Here is a 19,797-nt window from a genome sequence, read left to right on the forward strand (position 1 = left end):
GGCAGTCTGCATTTTAATAAGCCCTCCTGGTGATTCGGAGACTTGATGAAGTTTGGGAACCACTGTTTTGTACACAGCTTCTCAAACTCTCTGTGGTAAAGGATCCTCCCACCTCCATCCATGTGGACCTTCCAGGTACAACCAGTTCTGCAACACTGAAAATACATTCTGTTCAATGGGATGTGTCTGCTGACCATGAACTTGGATGTCACCACAGCATTAAATTGCTTTAAAAGTGTCCAAATGGCCAGGTGCGGTGGCTCACGCCATAATCCCAGCACTTTGGGAGGCCGAGGCGAGCGGATCACCTGAGGTCAGGAGTTCGAGACCAGCCTGACCAACATGGTGAAACCCTGTCTCTACTAAAAATACAAAAAATAAGCCAGGCATGGTGGCACATGCCTGTAATCCCAGCTATTCTGGAGGCTGAGGCAGGAGAATTGCCTGAACCCAGGAGGAGGAGGTTACAGTAAGCTGAGATTGCACCATTGCACTTCAGCCTGGGCAACAACAGTGAAACTCCATCTCAAAAAAAAAAAAAAAAGAAAAGAAAAGAAAAAAAGAAAAAGCATCCAAACGCTCTCAATTTCTATACTTACCCCATGGAAGATCATTAACAAACAGTTCAGGAGATGAGCACTTGTCCCCGGACCATGACTTGAGTGGCGGTGCTCCAGATCTGCACTTCTCAAACTTAATGTGGGCACAAGTCACCTGGGGATCCTGTGAAGGATGAGTTCACTACATCTGGGAGGGACCTAAAATTTTGTATTTCTAAGTGCCCACGGGATATTGATGCTGCTAGTCCATGGACCACACTTAGAATAGCAAGCTCTAGACTAGAGCAGTGCAGAATACATCTGATATCTTTTCTCATGAGTGTCTACCTAATATTTGAAGCTAATCATCATCCTCCCATTCTCCAAGCTTCTTCTCTAGGCTAAATATGACCAGTTCTCTCAACTCTTCCACATCCGCAATATTTCCAGATCTGCTCCCCACACCATACATGCTGGCCCCATAGATGCTATCTTTTCACTGCCCCAAAGCCAGTTCTCCTCTTCTTTTTTCTCATTCTTCCCCCTACCCCTCGCCACCAGCATTTGTAGCTGTTTTGTTCAGTGTTTCCTGGGCTGGCTCCAGCCCTTGGGGGATTTTCAGATGGCTCAGGCTTCTGGGAAGCTCTTGCAGCTGGAGGAAGGAAATTACCCCAGAGCTGGACAGTGGAATGTGCATCTGCCTAACCTGGACTCTTGCCCTGGTGTGCCTCCTGCTCTCACTGATCTCTCAGAGGACCCCTGCCTGCCCCATCTAGAGTCACCTCAATTTGACTCTAGTAACCTGGGCTTTCCTTCCTCCACTCACTCCTTAAAGCATCCTGGGGAACTTAAGGGAAGGGAGGATAGCATAGAGAGGTGAGAGGGGTTGCTTGTTTGCTCTGGAGAGGGGCTTCTGACGAGGCCAAGACCCTTCACAAGGATGCCCCATCTTCACTAACCCAATGTTTCTTCTTTATCTCTCAGGACTGCCCAGAGCCAAGCTCACTCCCCGAAAGCCAGTCTTGAGCCAAGGCTTTGTTTTCAGAAGTTCTTATAAAATGTCTTTTCTGGGAAGGCGTGAAGGGATTGAGCCAGTCTCACTCGTTAACATCTCAGCAAGGATTCATCTGTCAAATTAGTGAATAATTTGCCTAGCCCAGAGGGCATAAAACTCATAGGTAGATAACTTAAAAAAATTATACACAGCTTTACAGAGAAATGAAGACTTAAGTAGATTAGAACTTCCATTTTGTTCCCCTGAATGTTGGCTTTTCTGACATGTCCATACATTTCACATGGTTATGATTAGTGTGAGTATATTAATGTAGACTTCTTTCATTTAACTTCTTTTAGCATGCGTTAATATATACATCTCAAGGCAGCCAAACGTTGGATGTGCTTTTGCCCTTTAACATGTACATAACCCTCCAAGTAATCCTAGAGTAGCATGGTGGTTGTAAACTCAGGCCCCATCACTTACTAGCTGCGCGACGCTGGGCAAATTCTTAACATCTCTGAGCACAACCTGTAAAATGAGGATAAAATAAGAACCCACAGCATAGAGTTTTTGTGAGAATTAAATAAGCTGAGGCATGCAAAAACTCCTAAAATAGCACCTAGCCCCTTATAAGCACCCAATTAACTTTAGCTGCTCTAATTATAATTATTACTAGTATATTCAGGCAGTCATCTGTTTCTAAGCATTTTAGGTTATTTGCAGTTTTTTTTTATTATAACAAAGTTGTTGTTAACCTTTATCCTTTCTGGTAGCCATGTAAGGATTGCCTTGTCTACTAGAAGATATTAAGATGATAATGACAATGCCAAGATAATCTGAGAAGAGAATGATTACAATCAGCAAAGGGCTCAGAAAGGAAGCATTTCCTAGGGAAGGGAGAGAGCAAGTGAGGCAGATCAGAATCGAACCAGTCGAGGGGGGCAGTTGATGGACGAGATGAATTTGGGATATCTTTCAGAGGAAGGCACTTCAAATTCTTGTTATTTATTTCACTATGGTGCTCTCTGTGATTGGAACAGCTTGATATAGTTTGGCTCTGTGTCCTCACCCAAATTTCATCTTGAATTGTACTCCCATAATTCCCACGTGTTGTGGGAGGGACCCGGTGGGAGAGAATTGGATCACGGGGGCAGGTTTCCCCCATACTGTTCTCGTGGTGGTGAATAAGTCTCACGAGATCTGACGCTTTTATCAGGGGTTTCCGCTTTTGCGTCTTCTTTCTCTCTTCGCCTGCTGCCGTCCATGTAAGATGGGACTTGCTCCTCCTTGCCTTCCACCATGATTGTGAGGCTTCCTCAGCCACGTGGAACTGTAAGTCCAATTAAGCCCCTTTCTTTTGTAAATTGCCCACTCTCGGGTATGTCTTTATCAGCAGCATGCAAACAGACTTAATACACAGCTCCTGGCACATCATAGGTCCTCTGTCAGCTCCTGGTTGAAAGTATGAGTTGTCTGCTAGCTTCAGCAGGAGCCGCCAACCTGCTGTGGGCGGCCCTGGGTCCGGATCCCAGCCATGTCCAGATTTTTAAAGTCCAGATGTTTTGTCTGGCGCCACTCGGATCTCTGCTTCCTGAGTCATGGGACGAGAAACTCCTGGCTGGGGGCAGTGGCTCTGAGCAATGGTCTCCTTCTCCTCCTGTCAGCAGTGAGAGGCCTCTCATGGAATTTGGGTCATGGGGGTGGGGGTGGGGAATGATATTCATTAAGAGAAGTTGGACTCTTAGCAGGAGTTGAAGGACGAGAGGTGTCTGCTGGGTCTGAGTGCCAGCTGGTTCAACAGCAAGGGAAGAAAGAGATATGGCCTGCATCTTAGAATCTTAGCAGCGCTGTCTCTTTCGTGGGAAAAAGACAAGTGAGGATAAGTACAGAAAAGGGGGAAGTGCCTACTGGCATTCTTAGATAGCTTATTTTGGGCGGGGGTGGAGGGCGTTTGCAGCCATCGTGTGGTTTTGTCTACACAGTAATCCAATGGGAAGGCATGACCAGCTGAAATTTAAAAGTGAGAAATAGACTCAGTGCAGTCTAGTGAGCCCTCATCATGGAATTCCTTGTCTCTTTCCACACTGTTTCTTCTGGGAATAGGAACTTGACCTAGTAGTGGGAGGGATAAGAAACACCCCTGTTGACTCTCAGTTCATGCAGTCTGGGTGGGGCTGGTTCCACCCAAAGCTTCAGAGGTGGGCTCATGAATCAGATATGATTCATGAAAGTACCACATCCTCCTACCAACTTCTGACCAGGTGCACATGACCATGCTAGGCAATTAGAGCCAATGAGAATCAGCCCTAGGGTTTTGCTGGAACTATCTTTAGGCTCCTAAGATTTTAAGATATAGGTTAGAGGCCTGGCCATTTTGTCATCCTAAAGGGGTCACCTTCTTGGGAATAAAGTTAATTTAGAGGAAAGCAGAACTGAGAGAAGGAAAGAGAGAAAGAATTAAGAAATCATTTTAAAACCCAGATCTCACCATGAATCCATGGATCCAGTCAGCCTGAAAATTGACTACCCTTGGAATTTTCATTTAGGTGAACCAATACATTTTCCTTTTTTTTCCCCCGGAAAGACTTGTAGCTGACTTTCTGTTACAGCTGAAGGAATTCTTATCATAGAGTATAGCAGTGAAGTTGAGACTTGGTCAGCAGAGTTTGTGCTTGTCTTTCTGCCTTCCCTCCCTTCCCTGCACTGTGCAGTATGTAAATCCCTAGTCCTGAGAAGATTTCTCAATTTGCTACCTTGTATAAGCTTACCTAGTTGGACTTGTGGTGGTTAGGAAGAGTGGGTGGCCCTACATATTCCAATATCTTTTAAAATTTTATTTATTTATTTATTTAGAAACAGAGTCTTACTCTGTCATCCAGGCTGGAGTGCAATGGCGCAATCTCTACTCACTGCAATCTCCGCCTCCCAGGTTCAAGTGATTCTCCTGCCTTAGGCTCCTGAGTAGCTGGGACTACAGGCGTGTGCCTCCACACCCGGCTAACTTTTGTATTTTTAGTAGAGATGTGGTTTCACCATGTTGGCCAGGCTGGTCTCGAACTCCTGACCTCAGGTGATCCACCTGCCTCGGCCTCCCAAAGTGCTGGGATTACAGGTGTGAGCCACTGCGCCCGGCCTCCAAGTTTTTTATATACAGAGCTGCAGTTGTGTTTTTACTAGGATTTCACTGGGTCCACTCAGTAATGTGCTGGTAAATGTTTAACAAAGAAAGGAAAAAAACCTGTTCTGTAGTGTTTGCCAATTTCTGTGGTGCAAATATTCCAGCCATGGCTAATCCCAAGCTAACAACATAACAACACTGAATGCAGAGATGGAAAGAGGTACAAAGAGCACATGATTAGATAGTATTTTCACCACACAGATTTAATAGTTGTAGGTAACTGCAAGAGATTATAGATACATTGTAGTAAATAATTAAGAAGTTGTAAGTTTTGACTATTTAGTACCTTTCTTATTAATATAATTTATTTAATTGTAAGTTACATAATTTAATTTTGATAGCATCTCTGTTTAACAACTGGCTCACAAAATTCCTGAAAATTTTATAATTGGCTCTTCCGAGCTGGAATGAGCTAGTTCTAGGCCACCACTGATCTCATCTAGTGCCCTGGTAGAAATGATTGCTTCTTCAAGAGTTAGGAGTGTAAGCTCTGGCTTGAATTAAAAAACAGACCTGAAAGTAATCTTGAAAGCTTGATTTTGGTAAAGGTCAGTACCAAGTTGAAGTGTGCAGTGAAACTGAATACATTACTGTCTACTGAATGGAATTTATGACCTGAAGATATTCACAAATAGCTGTGAGATAGCACTCTTACTTTGCATGGTCAGCTGGTCCTGCTCTGTAGAAGGGGCCATAAAGCAGTAAAATAGATGTGTAGGGCAGGAGTCCTGTATCAGGCAATTTGAACCTGCAGAAAACAGATAGCACATCTGTATTAGTCTGTTCCCCCACTGTTACAAAGAGCTACCTGAGACAAGGTAATTTATAAAGAGGTTTAGTTGGTTCATGTTTCTGCAGGCTGTACAGGTTCTGGGGAAGCCTCAGGAAACTTACAATCATGGCAGAAGGCAAGGGGAAGCAGGCAATGTCTTACATGGCTGAAGCAGGAGGAAAAGAGAGAAGTGGGAGGTGCTACCCATTTTTAAACAACCAGATCTCATGAGAACTCACTATCACAAGAACAGCAAGGGGGGAAAATCCACCCCCATAATCCAATCACCTCCCATCAGGTCCCTCCTCCAACATTGGGGATTACAATTTGACATGAGATTTGGGCGGGGACACAAATCCAAACCATGTCAACATCCAAATTAGCATAATATGAGGAGTGTTTGAGGAACAGACTCTCTACAAAGGTGTGGGCAGGTATAGAAAAACCACAGAGATACAGTAGAATTCCAGGTCTATTAACAGGGCTCCATTATCTTCCCTAGGCCTGCAAGGAGGTACAAGCTGGGGGTAAGAGGGACTCGGTTACCAGAACCTGGAGACAGAAGGGTTGGGGGACTGGGATACCTGACATGGAATGGGATTTTGGACTACAGGGAGAGACATGCGGAATAAATACTGCTCTCAATCTCCTCCTTCCCTCTGCTCTTCTAGCCCAGCTCCCCATTGGCTAGGCCCACCCAAAGGCCAGGGCAAGGGATCCCATTGATGTCAACCTCTTGGGGCATTGAGCACGTTGGAGAAAGGTGGAAAGGGTCTCACGGGTCAAATGGCACCTTGAGTATCCTGCCATGGAGTGCACATCCTGTCCTTTGTGTTGGGCTAGAAAAAGGGCCAGGGAACCTTGCTTTTGGAATTGCTATGGGCCACCTTCATCCCAGAAACATTTAGGGTCTGGTCACCTGTTCCTGCGAAGGGCAGGAGGCTATTTGTGTAGATATACTGCTTCTCCCCTGGGACCAACACTTCTCTTCCAGCCTGGCATGAGGAGCATGAGGTTTGGGGAGAGACCCTTGGCCATGTCGTACTCTTTACTGCCAAGGCCATCACTAGGGACCACTCTTTGTCTGTCCAGTGAGTCTTAGCCCCCTATCTCAAGATTCTGCAAGGTCCTTTTCTGTGGATACTCAGTTGAGGAAGCCCTGGTCTGGGAGCCAAAAGACCTGGGATATCTGATTCTGATGCTATATCTTGAGGGGTTACCAGATCATGTCACTAGTCTGGATTTTTGTCATTTGCAAAATCAGTGGGCTGTTCCAGATGAACATGATTCCCAGTGACACCTCTGACTCTGAAGAGCGAATCCAAGATTTTATGAGTTTCATCATCTCTAGGTCATTTGTGTAATGAAAAGCATGCCTTTCCACAGCCAGGAGGTGGCAGCAAAGCTCTGTTTTGAAGGGGGCGTTAGGCCAGGGTAGGTACTGCTCTCCAACTCCCTAGAGCTGAAAGTTCAGGTTTGGAGGCTCGGTTTTACTCCTGAATAACAACAACAACAACAACAGCATTATTATTTTCATTATTGTTAGTAAAACAGAAGCAACAATGCCATCTTCAATTTGGGCAATGCTGCATAGTTGAGGAAACATTTTTGTGCATCGCATAGGAACCTTTTAACAACTGCATCCTGTAGGTAGGTAATGCCAGGACTTTTAGCCCCATGTTGAGGCTCAGGGACATTTCTTGACTTGCCCGAGGCCCTCTGGAAAGTATTGATGTGCCAGGATAGGAACCCAAGCTTTCTTGCTTTTGTTCTTGTTCTGTGCACTCCCTATCTTATGGTGTGGAAGACCCAAGGCAAGGTCCCCTCTACCTCCTTTTCCATTTTGCAAGAGAGTAGGAGGGTCCAGAGGTACCCAGCTCAGCCTGAGGGCTTAAGACTGGTTTCCGGCTGCCAGATGAAATTTGACATATACAAGCTGGGAAAGAAAACTCAGCACACAAACCTCAGCTTCACTCTCTTCTCTTTCTTCTAGTCCCCAGAAAAGAAAAAAGATATGTATCTTTAGTTACTTACCATCAGGGTGTACCTGGTGTCTCTCTTATTCATTCATTAATTCATTCCTTCAATAATCAGAGTTCTGATGAAGTGTAAGACTCTGTTATGTACTGTGAAGGATATAGGAAGGTTCTTTCTCTTCTGACTCAGAGATCTGGGGGTCAGGAGCTGGGATATGGGAGCCAGGTAAGTGCATAGCTTCTTGGGGGTATCTTAATCCTAGAGAGCCCCCACTGAACTGGGAGTTCTTGAGGAGATGGAATTCAGATTTGGTTTTGTTGGCGTGTCAGGGAGAAGTGAATCCACAGGATTTAAAAAATGACCCCCAACTCCATATGTTAACTTCTCAAACCAGAGAAAACCCCTTAGAGACACAGCCAAAACCCCAGACTGTTGTCCAACTGAATCCCTGTCTTGTACTCCACCTACCTCCTGGGGCCAGGTCTCAACCCTCCGCATCACGATAACAGGTTATCAGAGTGCGTACGGTGTGACCCACTCTATACCACCTGTGCTTCTTGCGTATTCTTATTTGCTTCTCAAAACAACCCTGTAAAGTAAACTGTTACACTCTATTTCACATCTGGGGAAACAGAGCCTTAAAGTCATGAAGTAACTTGCCCAGGGTCTCAAAGCTAGTGAGTGGTAGCAGAATTGAGACCCTGACAGGTTAGGACTCAGGATCCTGACCACCTGTCCTTGCAGAGGGAAAAGCCACCAAAGTGAGACTGAAGAGCTGCAATCTTATCTCCTCCTCAAACACTGGGCAAGTCATAACTTGTCTGCATCATCTCCAGAAAATGAGGGTATTACACTTGCTTGGTCTTCTAATAGGCTTGTTGGGAGGATGGAATGGAAAAGAGAAAAATGGGCCTGTGACAACTTAGCATCATACAATGTTGTTCTGTGTGTTCGAAATAATATTATTCTCCCTCCTGACTTTGGATTTTTTTGACTGTGAAGATTGAGGCAATTGAAAAGATCATTTCAGTGGACACTTTCAGCAATGATGATGGTGATGGTGATGATGGTGATAGTGGTGGTGATGATGATGATGGTGATGGTGATCTTGAGAAGGTGGTGGTGGTGGTGATGATGGTGATGGTGGTGGTGATGATGGTGATGGTGATCTTGAGAAGGTGGTGGTGGTGGTGATGATGGTGATGGTGGTGATCTTGAGAAGGTGGTGGTGATGATGATGGTGATGGTGGTGGTGATGATGATGATGGTGATGGTGATCTTGAGAAGGTGGTGGTGGTGATGATGATGGTGATGATGGTGATCTTGAGAAGGTGGCGGTGATGATGATGATGGTGATGATGGTGATCTTGAGAAGATGGTGATGGTGATGATGATGATGGTGATAGTGGTGATAGTGATGGTGGTGATTTTAATAGTGATGAAGGTGATGATGGTGATAATGATGACGGTGATGATGATGATGATGATGGTGATGATGACAGTCATAATAATGGTAGTGGTGAAGTTAGAGGAAGGTGACCTCAGAATCATTTTCTGCTGCCACCGCTGCTGCCAATCCTCCTCAATTTCCAACCCCACTGTGTCAAAGGCATTTGGGGTGGGCTGGTGATGAGATGAAAAGGAGAATCTAGAAGGCCAGAGAGAAGGAATAATCTAAGATGTTAAAGAATAGTGTACTTATCTCAGTGCCTGGTACATAGTAAGCCAGTACTCACTATCAGGTAATAGAAGCTATGAATTTTTAAAACAGTTTTATTAAGATGTAATCATACACCATACAATTTATCTGTTTAAAGTCTAAAATTGAATGGCTTTTAATATATTCACAGTTATGCTGCCACCACCACAATCAATTTTAGAACATCCGTTTTCCCAAAAGAAACCCTGTGCCTCTTGCTGTCACCCCAACCGCCTCATCCCTCCTGGCAAAGCTATGATTTTTATTGTTATCTACACCTTACAGAATAAGGAAATTGAGACTAAGCAATGAGAATAACTTGCCCATGACCACACAGTTGGTATGTGACAGCACTGGGATTCCATCTAGGTTTGCCAGAACCTAAAGCCTGTGCTTCTGTCCACACAGGTCAGTTTGACCAATGAGGAAACTCAGGTTCAGAGAATATATGTGATCAACCCAAGGCCACACAGCTACAGCTATTAAGTGGTCAGGATGAGGCTCACATTTAGACTTGGCTCCTAATCCACCCATAAGTGTCCTTATTCCATTTTACTGTGCCCCTTCAGGGTAAGCAAATCAACATAATCAGAATGGATGAGATCCTTAAGATCCGAGAGAGAGATGTGAAACTAGCAGTAGTTTTCTTTCCCATTGGGGAGGGAGAATGGTGCCTGGGTCCAGTCTCGTCCTGGACTTGGAAAGTTAACATCTCTTTGGACCCAGCTGCTCCCTTTTCCTTTTGGCCCTGAACACCCTGAGGAGGCTCCATGCAGGTGGGGAGGAGTTACCCTAGCTGGAAGGAGGAGCAAGGTGGTACCTGAGCCCCTATCCAACCTTTTCTAAAGCATCTGTCTTCCTAGGAGTGAATGAGTTTGACAGTACCTACTACCTTCTCAGATGTTAAGGGGAACTGTGGGTGGGCATGAGAGAATTGTACGACAAAGCCTTTAAAAGGGATGGGATGGAAAAGCAGAGTTGCTTGGCAGCCTGCAAGTCTAGGATCTCCAGGGTGTAATTTCCACTCTGCCCTAGACAACTATAGTCACAGTGCTTAATCCATCTGGGCCCCAGTGTCCCTATCTGTAAATTCAGAGAGAAAATGAGGAAGTAAATTGCAAGAATTATGAGTTCCTAGGAGGAAAATGTACTACAGTTATCTGAAAGAATCTTTATTTTCTTTCCTTCCTTCTCTTCTTCCTTCCTTTTGGATGTTTTCAGCTTTATTGAAGTATAATTGACAAAAGGAATTGTATATATTTAAGGTACACAAATTGATGTTTTAATACATGCATACATTATTAACTATAGATAGGCCTGGTGCTGTAGATCTCCAGAATGTATTCATCTTGTATAACTGAAAATGTGTACCCTTTGATAAACATCTTCCCACTTCCTCCTACTCCCAGCCTCTGGCAACCATTATTCTACTCTTTGCCTCTATGAGTTTGACTATCTTAGATTCCACATAGAAGTGAGGTCATGCAGTGTTTGTCTTTCTGCATCTGGCTTATTTCACTTAGCATAATGTCCCCCAAGTTCACCTATGTTGTCACAAATTGCAGGATTTCCTTCTTTTTTATGGCCCAATAGTATTCCCAATAGTATATGAATATATATATTCAAATTTGCATATATATGTACATTTGCATATATATGCACATTGTGGTGATATATACATATATACGAGATATATACATATATATACGTATATATGGATATATACGTGTATATATATACATATATACGAGATATATACGTGTATATATATATACATATATATGTATATACACATTTTCTTTATCCATTTATCCATTGATGGACATTTAGTTTGTTTCCACATTGTGGCTATTGTGAAGAGTGATGCAATAAACATGGAAGTGTAGATATCTCTTCAAGATCCTGATTCAGGCCAGGCGCGGTGGCTCACGCCTGTAATCCCAGCACTTTGGGAGGCCGAGGCGGGTGGATCATGAGGTCAGGAGATCGAGACCATCCTGGCTAACAAGGTGAAACCCCGTCTCTACTAAAAATACAAAAAATTAGCCGGGCGCGGTGGCGGGCGCCTGTAGTCCCAGCTCCTCGGGAGGCTGAGGCAGGAGAATGGCGTGAACCCGGGAAGCGGAGCTTGCAGTGAGCCGAGATTGCGCCACTGCAGTCCGCAGTCCGACCTGGGCGACAGAGCGAGACTCCGTCTCAAAAAAAAAAAAAAAAAAAAAAAAAAAAAAAAAAAAAAAAAAAAAAAAAAAGATCCTGATTCAATTTCCTTTGGATATATGCCCAGTAGTGGGATGGCTGGATCATATGGTAGTTCCATTTTTAAGTTTTTGAAAAACTGCTATTAGGTTGTACCAATTTGCATTCCCACCAGCAGTGCACAAGAGTTCCCTTTTCTCCACGTCCTCACCAACACTTTTGTCTTTCTGATAATAGCTATTCTGAGAGATGTAGAGTGATATAGGGTCTTTATTTTTAAATGTTTGTGGAAGCTAGTGATTTACCTGGCCATGGGTTGGATTTCCATGTTTTCTACTTGGAGCAAAGATCCTCCACTTTCACATTCCTTATTTTATATTTACGATAGAGCAGCAAGAATCTAAATATCAGCTTCATAGAAGAGGAATGGACCATGATAATAAACACAGCAGAGCCGGGAATCCGAGTATTTAGGAGAATTTATTTCTCACACATTTTCCCTCCACTCTCTCGGAGGTGTCCCATGGCAACGAGCATCAGGTGAGCCTCATTCTTCCATCTTCTGTGGGAGAAAAAAATAATTGTACATAGGAAATGAGTCAACTAAATGGGAGACTGAACATCATCTTGAAGTGAAGCAGCTGGAAAATCTGGAACTTCAGAGGAATATTAAGGAATGGCGTTGTTTCCCTTTGAACATTGTAAAAGCAAATCAATCTAGCTACTGGCGACAGGACAAACGCCCTGCAAAACAGGGGCTTCATGGGCAGCATCTGTAGCAACAGGGACAGACAGGGATGACAGTGTCGTGCCTCACTGCTCATTCTTTCAAGAGCCTGGAACCACAGGAGTCTTTGCTCAAACAGTAGCATTTGGGAGTGTGCAACCAGCAGCAGGAAGGAGAGGATCAACAGTCATCTTCCAAGCTCTCCCTGGGTGGTCCATGGGACTCCCCCGGGGCTTGGGATTTCTTGGGAAGAAGCCATACTCAGGTACTTGCTCTTCCCTGGCCCCCTACATCTCAGGTACCTGCTCTTACCTGGTCCCCACATCTCAGGTACCTGCCCTTATCTGGCCTCCCACACTCAGGCATTCGCTCTTACCTGGCCCCCATATTCAATATCTGTTCTTAGCTGGCCCCTATATCTCAGGTACCTGCTCTTACCTGGCTGCCCACGTCTCGGCTCTTGGCCCTCAGCTTGTTGACCTGGGACTCAGCGATGTCCGCCCTCTCCGCGGCCTCCTCTAGCTCATGCTGGACTCTCCGGCATCTGGACAGCTGCGTGTTGGCCTGCTCCTCCTGCACAGGAGACAGAGGGGGTATGACGCTGTAGAGCCTCTCAGTCCGATTATGAGGTGCCCTGTCTCTGAAGGCCTCTGAGGAGTTAAGCAACCAGGGCCCTGGATTCCCTGATGGCAGAGAGGGCAGGGAAGCTTTCTCCAGCGTGTGAGGACAAGGCTCCCAGCTCACGACCATGTGTACTGCCTCGGATCACCTTGCAGGTGCTACTGTCCCTTCTAGGACCTCCACATGTTCCCTTGAATCTCTTCTATATGGTATCTGCTCCATAGAGATCTTCGGGGGAGACCTAAGTCCAGAGCTCTCCCAAGGCACCTGAAGGTATAGAGACCAATGGCCCAAGTCTCCCTCGTCCTGTGCCTCTGCCCAGCACCATCTGTCTAAGGCCAGGCCACTGTACTGGTCTATTTGGGGGAATGTCAAGGATTCCTGACTAAAATGTCCTCCTGGGCACCCTCTAGCCTGCCGATCCTGCTGGGACTGTACTCATCCCATGTGCGTGAATTGCTCTCAATATTGAACCAGTTCAAATCTGCTTCCCTGAGGTCAGGATTGAACCAACCAGGCTCCAGGGAAGGGAGGAAAAAGAGCAATGGGAGAAGCTCAGTCATTTGTCCAGGGCAGACTCCCCTAAATTTTGGTCCTCAGAACAGTAGCCCTGAGGGATGCTCTGCATACAATAAGAAGGTTCTAAAGTCAATGAAGAGTGAGAAATGGTATATTCTGGAACCCTTCTTCCACTTTGTAGAGTTGATGACATATCAAACTCTACAACATCTACAAAATCTGAGATATCCTTGAAGTAAAGCAACCAGGGTAACTTTGTTTAACTCAGATTTTCCCAAACGATCTCTTTTCTATAAAAGGATAAGCTCCTCCCCATGGCAGCCCCACCTTCCTGCTATTAACATCCCTCAGAACCAGTGTCCTCAGAAGACACTTTGGGAAACACTGATTTTAGCCCATTCCATTTCTTTCCTATTGATTTCACCTATTTGATCAAAGGGTGGATGAAAAAGGATGGGATGGAGTGGAGGGAGTTAGGGAGGGCTGAGGAAGGCTGGAGATGCCTAGGAGGGTGGGCTGTGGTGGGATGGTGGGAATTAGGATGAGGTATCTCAGGTCAGGTCATGGGAGCAGGAATGGCTTTGAGGGTAGACTGGGGTGGTTCGGGAGAGTCAGGGTGATCCAACGCCAGCAGAGTAGGCTAACATGCTCTAGGGGGTGTCAAGTGAGTCACGGTGGGCAGGATGAAGGGGATGGAGGGGGCTGGCCAAGTAGGGTGAGGCAAGAGGGCACAGAGATGGTGAAGGTCGTGAAGGCTTAACATGGACCAGGAGAGGAAGAGGGCAGTTGTCTCTGTGTTTATAGCCTGCAAATACAAACTCAGGCCTGAGGCTCAGGGGACTTTACCAACCAGGATGGCGGGGACACCCAGGATGCCCCAGGGACTGTCTGTCTGTGGGCACTGCCGGGGACCTCCTGTGCTTACCGCCTCCTCAGCCTGCCTCTTGTAAGACTTCACTTTGGCCTGCAGCTTGTCCACCAGGTCCTGGAGCCTAAGGATATTCTTGTGGTCCTCCTCAGCCTGCAAACAGAGTACACGTGGCAGGGGCCCGCAAACCTATGGTCACTTCTGATGGGGCTTGGTCCATACAGCATTCACTGAGGAGGTTTTTGGGACCCCTACCTGGTAAGTCATCTCCTTGACTTTGCGTTCGTACTTGTGGGCTCCCTTCAGGGCTTCAGCTCCCCTCTTCTGTTCCACATCAAGCTCATTTTCCAGCTCCCGCACCTGAGTAGGATGAAAGGAACACAGAATTCAAATCTCCTCTCCCAGGCTTCTCTCATGGACTCATGGGCCAATCATTCTAGAGTGAACTCAAGATCCCCTAATGGTCATTAAAAAGTCAGGAAACAACAGATGCTGGAGAGGATGTGGAGAAATAGGAACACTTTTACACTGTTGGTGGGAGTGTAAATTAGTTCAACCATTGTGGAAGACAGTGTGGCAATTCCTCAAGGATGTAGAACTAGAAATACCATTTGACCCAGTAATCCCAATATTGGGTATATTCCCAAAGGATTATAAATCATTCTATGAAGACACATGCACATATATGTTTACTGAGGCACCGTTCACAATAGCAAAGCCTTGGAACCAACCCAAATGCCCATAAATGATAGACTGGATAAAGAAAATATGGCACATATACATCATGGAATACTATGCAGCCATAAAAAAGGATGAGTTCATGTCCTTTTCAGGGACATGGATGAAGCTGGAAACCATCATTCTCAGCAAACTAAGGAACAGAAAACCAAACACCACATATTCTCACTCATAAGTGGGAGTTGAACAATGAGAACACATGGTCACAGTAAAGGGAAGATCATACACTGGGACCTGTCAGGGGGCAGGGGGCTAGGGGAGGGATAGCATTAGGAGTAATACCTAATGTAAATGATGGGTTGATGGGTGCAGCAAACCAACATAGCACGTTTATACCTATGTAATAAACCTGCACGTTCTGCACATGTACCCCAGAACTTAAAGTTAGAACAAAAAACGATCCCCTAATGGGATTTTGCCAAGATGTCTCCTCCTAGGTCTTAGGAGCCACATTTTATTGACAATGCAGGTGCTTTGAGCAAGTGAGAATAAGATGCCCTTACTGGGCAGAGGCAGCCTCAGGTGCACAGAGCATAGCTGGTGGGTCAGGATTTGCTTAGATGCTCCCTTTTGTGGAGCCAGGTCGTTTGGCAAGGGCAGCAAAAGCTAACCTGACTTGTCCTTGCAGGTGAAACCTGCCCAACTGTTCATTGAACTTACAGCAGATCAAGTAACTTGAACTTACAGATCAAGTAAGGCAGCAGGGATCACGAAGAGAACCTGGGCCAGGAGTAGTCAAAGCACTCTCCAGGCCCACTTGATAGACCCAAAGCAAGTCAGTCGCCACCACTGAGCATGAGTTTCTGTATATTTAGGATGGAGATAATATTTCCTGCCCAGCCTACCTCAAATGTGGAGATCAAATGAAAGTATGTGAAAGTATTGTTAGAATGACAAAGCACTACACAGGTGTTGTTAATTTCATAGTTGCTTCTGCCTTTCTTGAAGTCTTGAGGGGAAAGGGCAGCCACTGAGGACATAAGTCACCAACTGTGGTCCCAACTCCACAATCCAGAGATTGAAGCCAGGGAGGGGCAGCAGCCAGCTGCATGCTCCACTCCACTGGGAATCCCAGTGGCTGCAGAGCAGGGCCAACTCTGGGCTTGGAGACTCACTAGATCAGCCTTGAAAACTACTAATCGGACAGGCTTACTCTGGGTGCTGTTCCCAAAACCTCCCCACCCTCCACCTCCTGGACCCAGGAAATGTCTTCCATCAGGTTCTACAAAACATTTGTTTTCCTGGGAATTCTTTCTAGGCTTCTGTAAGGTTTATGGAAGTCACATAACCGGGCAGGGGATGGGAGGACAGTCAAGGTGCCTCACCATGGGAGGGGGAGGGTGGCCGAGGGCTCCCCGCCAACCCAGGAATCAAAGTATGGCAGAAGGTGTCATGAGATCTAATCCTTTTCCCATAGGAGGGATCCATGAGAAGAACAGGCCTAAACTCATTGTAGTGGAATAGGACTGGGGATAATTGAAAATAAACATTAAAGAATTTTGGGGGAAGTTCTAACTTCCCTGGTGTTTACTTTTGTTATTCAAAAAGTCTATGGCCTTGTTGTTTTTAGCACCTCCCTAAAAAAAATCCTTTCACATTTAATGGGACCATGTGCCTGGGGAGGATATCCTCGGGTGGTTTGCATAAAGAATGACAGTATTTGGAGGCTTTCCTGCTGGGAAAAGTTGTCTCCTTCTCTTTTCCTCCTCCTCATCCTCCTTTCCTCCCTCTCTTTCATTTCCTGTCTCCCTGGGACAAGAGACATTCGAACAGCCTCCTCCGCAGAGCCCTCCTCCAAAATGTCAACCACTAGTGGAGCCCATTTTAAAATGATTGAAATAAACCACATGGGTCTAAAAGGAAAAGCAAGGGAGACAGGAAACAAAGGGAACAGTCAGCAAAGAAACTGAATAATAACTGCAGGATACGCTCCCAGATAAAGAAAGAGCAGGGATGTCCAGGTGTCGGGGGGTTGAACTTTGCTGGTGCATCAAGCTAAAGGAAGAAGCCCCGATCGCCCTCTTTTGGGGCTGGAGCAAGAGACATACCTGTGCCAGAATTGCAGCCTGCACTGACAGATGAGAAAAGCTGGGGAGGGAAGGAAACCTGAGATTGGGAGAAAACGGAAACTGCAGATTTTATGTAGGATGGGCTGTGTTGATCAAAGTGAAGCTTGGTCCAAAATGTAAATGCATCAAAATGAGTAATTTTATGACTGTAGAGTATATGTTAATAGTTTTTTCCATGTATGTGCGTGCATCTGAATCTGCATAGCAAATGGAATGTGAACATTAACATACATCATTATATTACATTTACTGAGGTGTGAGCATACCAAAATAGATGTGTGTGTGTGTGTGTGTGTGTGTGTGTGTGTGTGTGTGTGTGTGTGTTTTGGGGCATAGGAACAGGTGAAACAGAAAGAGGTGAGAAATGAAGCTCACAGGGAATTTTTCAAGCAGTCCTGAAACTGAATTTGCAATCTATTCATTCAGTGGCCTTTTCCCACCATCTCAGTTTCTGGACTGTGGTTCTGTCCGAGGCTGTCACTTTCAGAGTAACAGTCCTCTCAAAAACTCTACCCGGTTCTCCAGTTTCTGGATCTGCTTCTTCCCGCCCTTCAGCGCCAGTTGTTCAGCCTCATCTAGACGGTGCTGCAGGTCCTTCACCGTCTGCTCCAGGTTCTTCTTCATCCGCTCCAGGTGGGCGCTGGTGTCCTGTTCCTTCTTTAGCTCCTCAGCCATCATGGCAGCCTGGTTAAGTTCACAGGACACATCAGAGGCCCTGTCCGCCCATCCCTACCCAGAGCTTGCAGAAGAGGCGAAGGCTGGGATCATGGTGCTGAGCCTCCCCTGTCTGACTGGGGCCAGTCATTGCTGATTCCCCACAGCCTCCCCTCCCACTTTGCCACTGCTGAGACTGTACCTCATTACATCTGTCTGGGAAGCCACCACTAACCGATTGTTGTCATAAGAGATGAAACATACTTGCCACACCCTGGCTCAGAGGCCCCACTTTCTCAGTTCCAAACCCCATCTCTGAAAAGGAAGAACAGAGCTCACATCCGTGATGGCCTTCTTGGCCTTCTCCTCTGCGTTCCTGGACTCCTGGATCGAGTTCTCCACCTCTGCCTGGCACTGAGCTATGTCAGCCTCCAGTTTTTTCTTGGTATTTATCAGGCTTGTGTTCTACAAGAAGAATTAGATATCAGGGGTGTGGGTTCTATTGGGGCGCTTAAAAAAATTGGGAGAGGGTTGGCTGGGGAGGGAAGTAAATTGTGATCCTGTTCCATTTCTTATTTTTCACATGGGTGACCTGCTGGGTACAGTACTGTACATTCTTTCTTTATTCTTAACTGAACAGAAAGTCCTGAAACAGACCCAAGAATTGTACATGAAAGAATTCAGTAAATGATAAAAGTAGAATTTCAAATATTTGAGGATGGATAGATTATTCAGTAAAAAGTCTTGGAACAAGGAAATGATGATAGACATACTATATGAAATGAAAAATAATTTAAATAATCAAAATATGCCATAAATAGAATTGTAAGGGGTGACGACAAACTGGAAAACATTTGCAATGTACATTACAGAAGAAAATATTCCCTTTCTTAACATACAAATAAGGCAAATCAATTAAAAAAAGGGCAAAAACTACAAATGGGTAAAATACTAGAAGAAATTCAAATGGCCAACAAATGTGATAAAATGTTCCACCTCATTAGCAATAAAAAAAATACTAAAAACTCAGTGAGGTATGTTTCAGCAATAAAATTGGTGAAGATTTTTAAAATAAGAGCTAGAGTATTTGAGAATTTATAGAAGAGAACTCTCACACGTTTCCCCAGTGGAAATAAAAATTGGGACAACCTTGTTAAAGAACAATTTATATTACAAATACTTTTGCTGTTTGGACCTTGAAATTTCATTTTTAGAAATTTATTTACTTCTAGAAATATTAAGATTATAGTAATCATAGAAGTATATGAAAATTTAGTTATGAGGAAGTTCATCAAAATAGTCTTTCTAAAAGTAAAATTTTTATTGAGAACAATCTAAAATAACCACAGAAGACTGATTAAATGAAAGGGCCATAATATACAAGTAGAATAGCCTACTTTTCTGTCATTAAAAATCATATAGAAGACTATTTAAAGATGTCGAAGCTGGGCACAGTGGCTCATGCCTGTAATCCCAGAGCTTTGGGAGGCTGAGGCGGGCGGATCACCTGAAGTCAGGAGATCGAGACAATCCTGGCCAACATGGTGAAACCCCGTCTCTACAAAAATACAAAAATTAGCTGGGTGTGGTGACAAGCACCTGTAATCCCAGCTACTCAGGAGGCTGAGGCAGGAGAATCGCTTGAACCTAGGAGGCAGAGATTGCAGTGAACTGAGATCGCACCACTGCACTCCAGCCTGGCGACAGAAAGAGACTCTGCTCTGTCTCAAAAAAAAAAAAAAAAGATGTCAAAATATGTTCATGATTGTTAAATTCAAAAAAGAGGTTGCAAAAGATTGCTCATACTTTGACTATATATATATGTATTTATTTTTAATTAAAACTTTTTTTTTTTTTTTTTTTTTTGTAGAGACAAGGTTTTGCCATATTGCCCACGCTGGTCTCAGACTCCTGAGATCAAACAATCCCAAATTCCTGGGATTAGAGGCAAAAATATAATATTTATATAATTCACAATGGGCCTAAGAATGAGAGACCCCAGAATGTTAATAATATGCTTGACTTTTTTCTTCCATGTATTTACTTGTTTTTTCTATTTTTTTAAACAAAGGAGTTTTAAAAACTTTTATAAAAATAATTATTTTGTGTTTTTGTTGTTGTTGTTTGTTTGTTTATTTTTTTGGCAGGGTCTCCCTCTGTTGCCCAGGCTGGAGTGCAGTGGCATGATCATAGTTCATTGCAGCTTCAACTCCTGGGCTAAAGCAAACCTCCCACCTTGGCCT

At 44.7% G+C, this 19,797-nt stretch overlaps 1 protein-coding gene and 1 long non-coding RNA gene across 3 annotated transcripts in view, besides 3 other annotated features; one reads left to right on the forward strand and one right to left on the reverse strand.

The window, feature by feature from the left end:
• Positions 2,527-2,821: an enhancer, noted in NCBI's record as "tiled region #11916; HepG2 Activating non-DNase unmatched - State 24:Quies, and K562 Activating DNase matched - State 3:PromF". NCBI's record gives its function as "activates a minimal TATA promoter and a strong SV40 promoter by Sharpr-MPRA in HepG2 and K562 cells {active_cell/tissue: HepG2 | K562}" and the evidence as "EXISTENCE:reporter gene assay evidence [ECO:0000049][PMID:27701403]".
• Positions 2,774-19,797, forward strand: part of LOC107985004 (uncharacterized) — a 49,640-nt gene continuing 32,616 nt past the window's right edge. For both annotated transcript variants that reach the window (XR_007065617.1, XR_001752791.3), the window contains exon 1: positions 2,774-2,868. This is a non-coding gene — a long non-coding RNA (uncharacterized LOC107985004). The remainder of the gene's footprint in view (positions 2,869-19,797) is intronic.
• Positions 3,073-4,272: an enhancer, noted in NCBI's record as "P300/CBP strongly-dependent group 1 enhancer chr17:10195435-10196634 (GRCh37/hg19 assembly coordinates)". NCBI's record gives its function as "activates an origin of replication core promoter dependent on BRD2, BRD4, P300/CBP, MED14 and CDK7 cofactors, with strong dependence on P300/CBP, by STARR-seq in HCT116 cells {active_cell/tissue: HCT116}" and the evidence as "EXISTENCE:reporter gene assay evidence [ECO:0000049][PMID:35650434]".
• Positions 4,607-4,901: an enhancer, noted in NCBI's record as "tiled region #3410; HepG2 Activating DNase matched - State 9:DNaseU". NCBI's record gives its function as "activates a minimal TATA promoter and a strong SV40 promoter by Sharpr-MPRA in HepG2 cells {active_cell/tissue: HepG2}" and the evidence as "EXISTENCE:reporter gene assay evidence [ECO:0000049][PMID:27701403]".
• The window catches only part of MYH13 (myosin heavy chain 13), a 72,142-nt gene continuing 64,164 nt past the window's right edge, over positions 11,820-19,797 (reverse strand). The window contains exons 36-41 of the mRNA NM_003802.3: positions 17,894-18,019; positions 17,414-17,584; positions 14,349-14,453; positions 14,151-14,246; positions 12,524-12,658; positions 11,820-11,920 (exon numbers count right to left, since the gene is read on the reverse strand). Coding sequence (NP_003793.2) covers positions 11,906-11,920; positions 12,524-12,658; positions 14,151-14,246; positions 14,349-14,453; positions 17,414-17,584; positions 17,894-18,019 — 648 coding nt within the window. The 3' untranslated portion in view covers positions 11,820-11,905. The remainder of the gene's footprint in view (positions 11,921-12,523; positions 12,659-14,150; positions 14,247-14,348; positions 14,454-17,413; positions 17,585-17,893; positions 18,020-19,797) is intronic.

The sequence above is a fragment of the Homo sapiens genome, chromosome 17 (genome assembly GCF_000001405.40).
Source record: "Homo sapiens chromosome 17, GRCh38.p14 Primary Assembly".
NCBI classification, from domain to species: domain Eukaryota; kingdom Metazoa; phylum Chordata; class Mammalia; order Primates; family Hominidae; genus Homo; species Homo sapiens.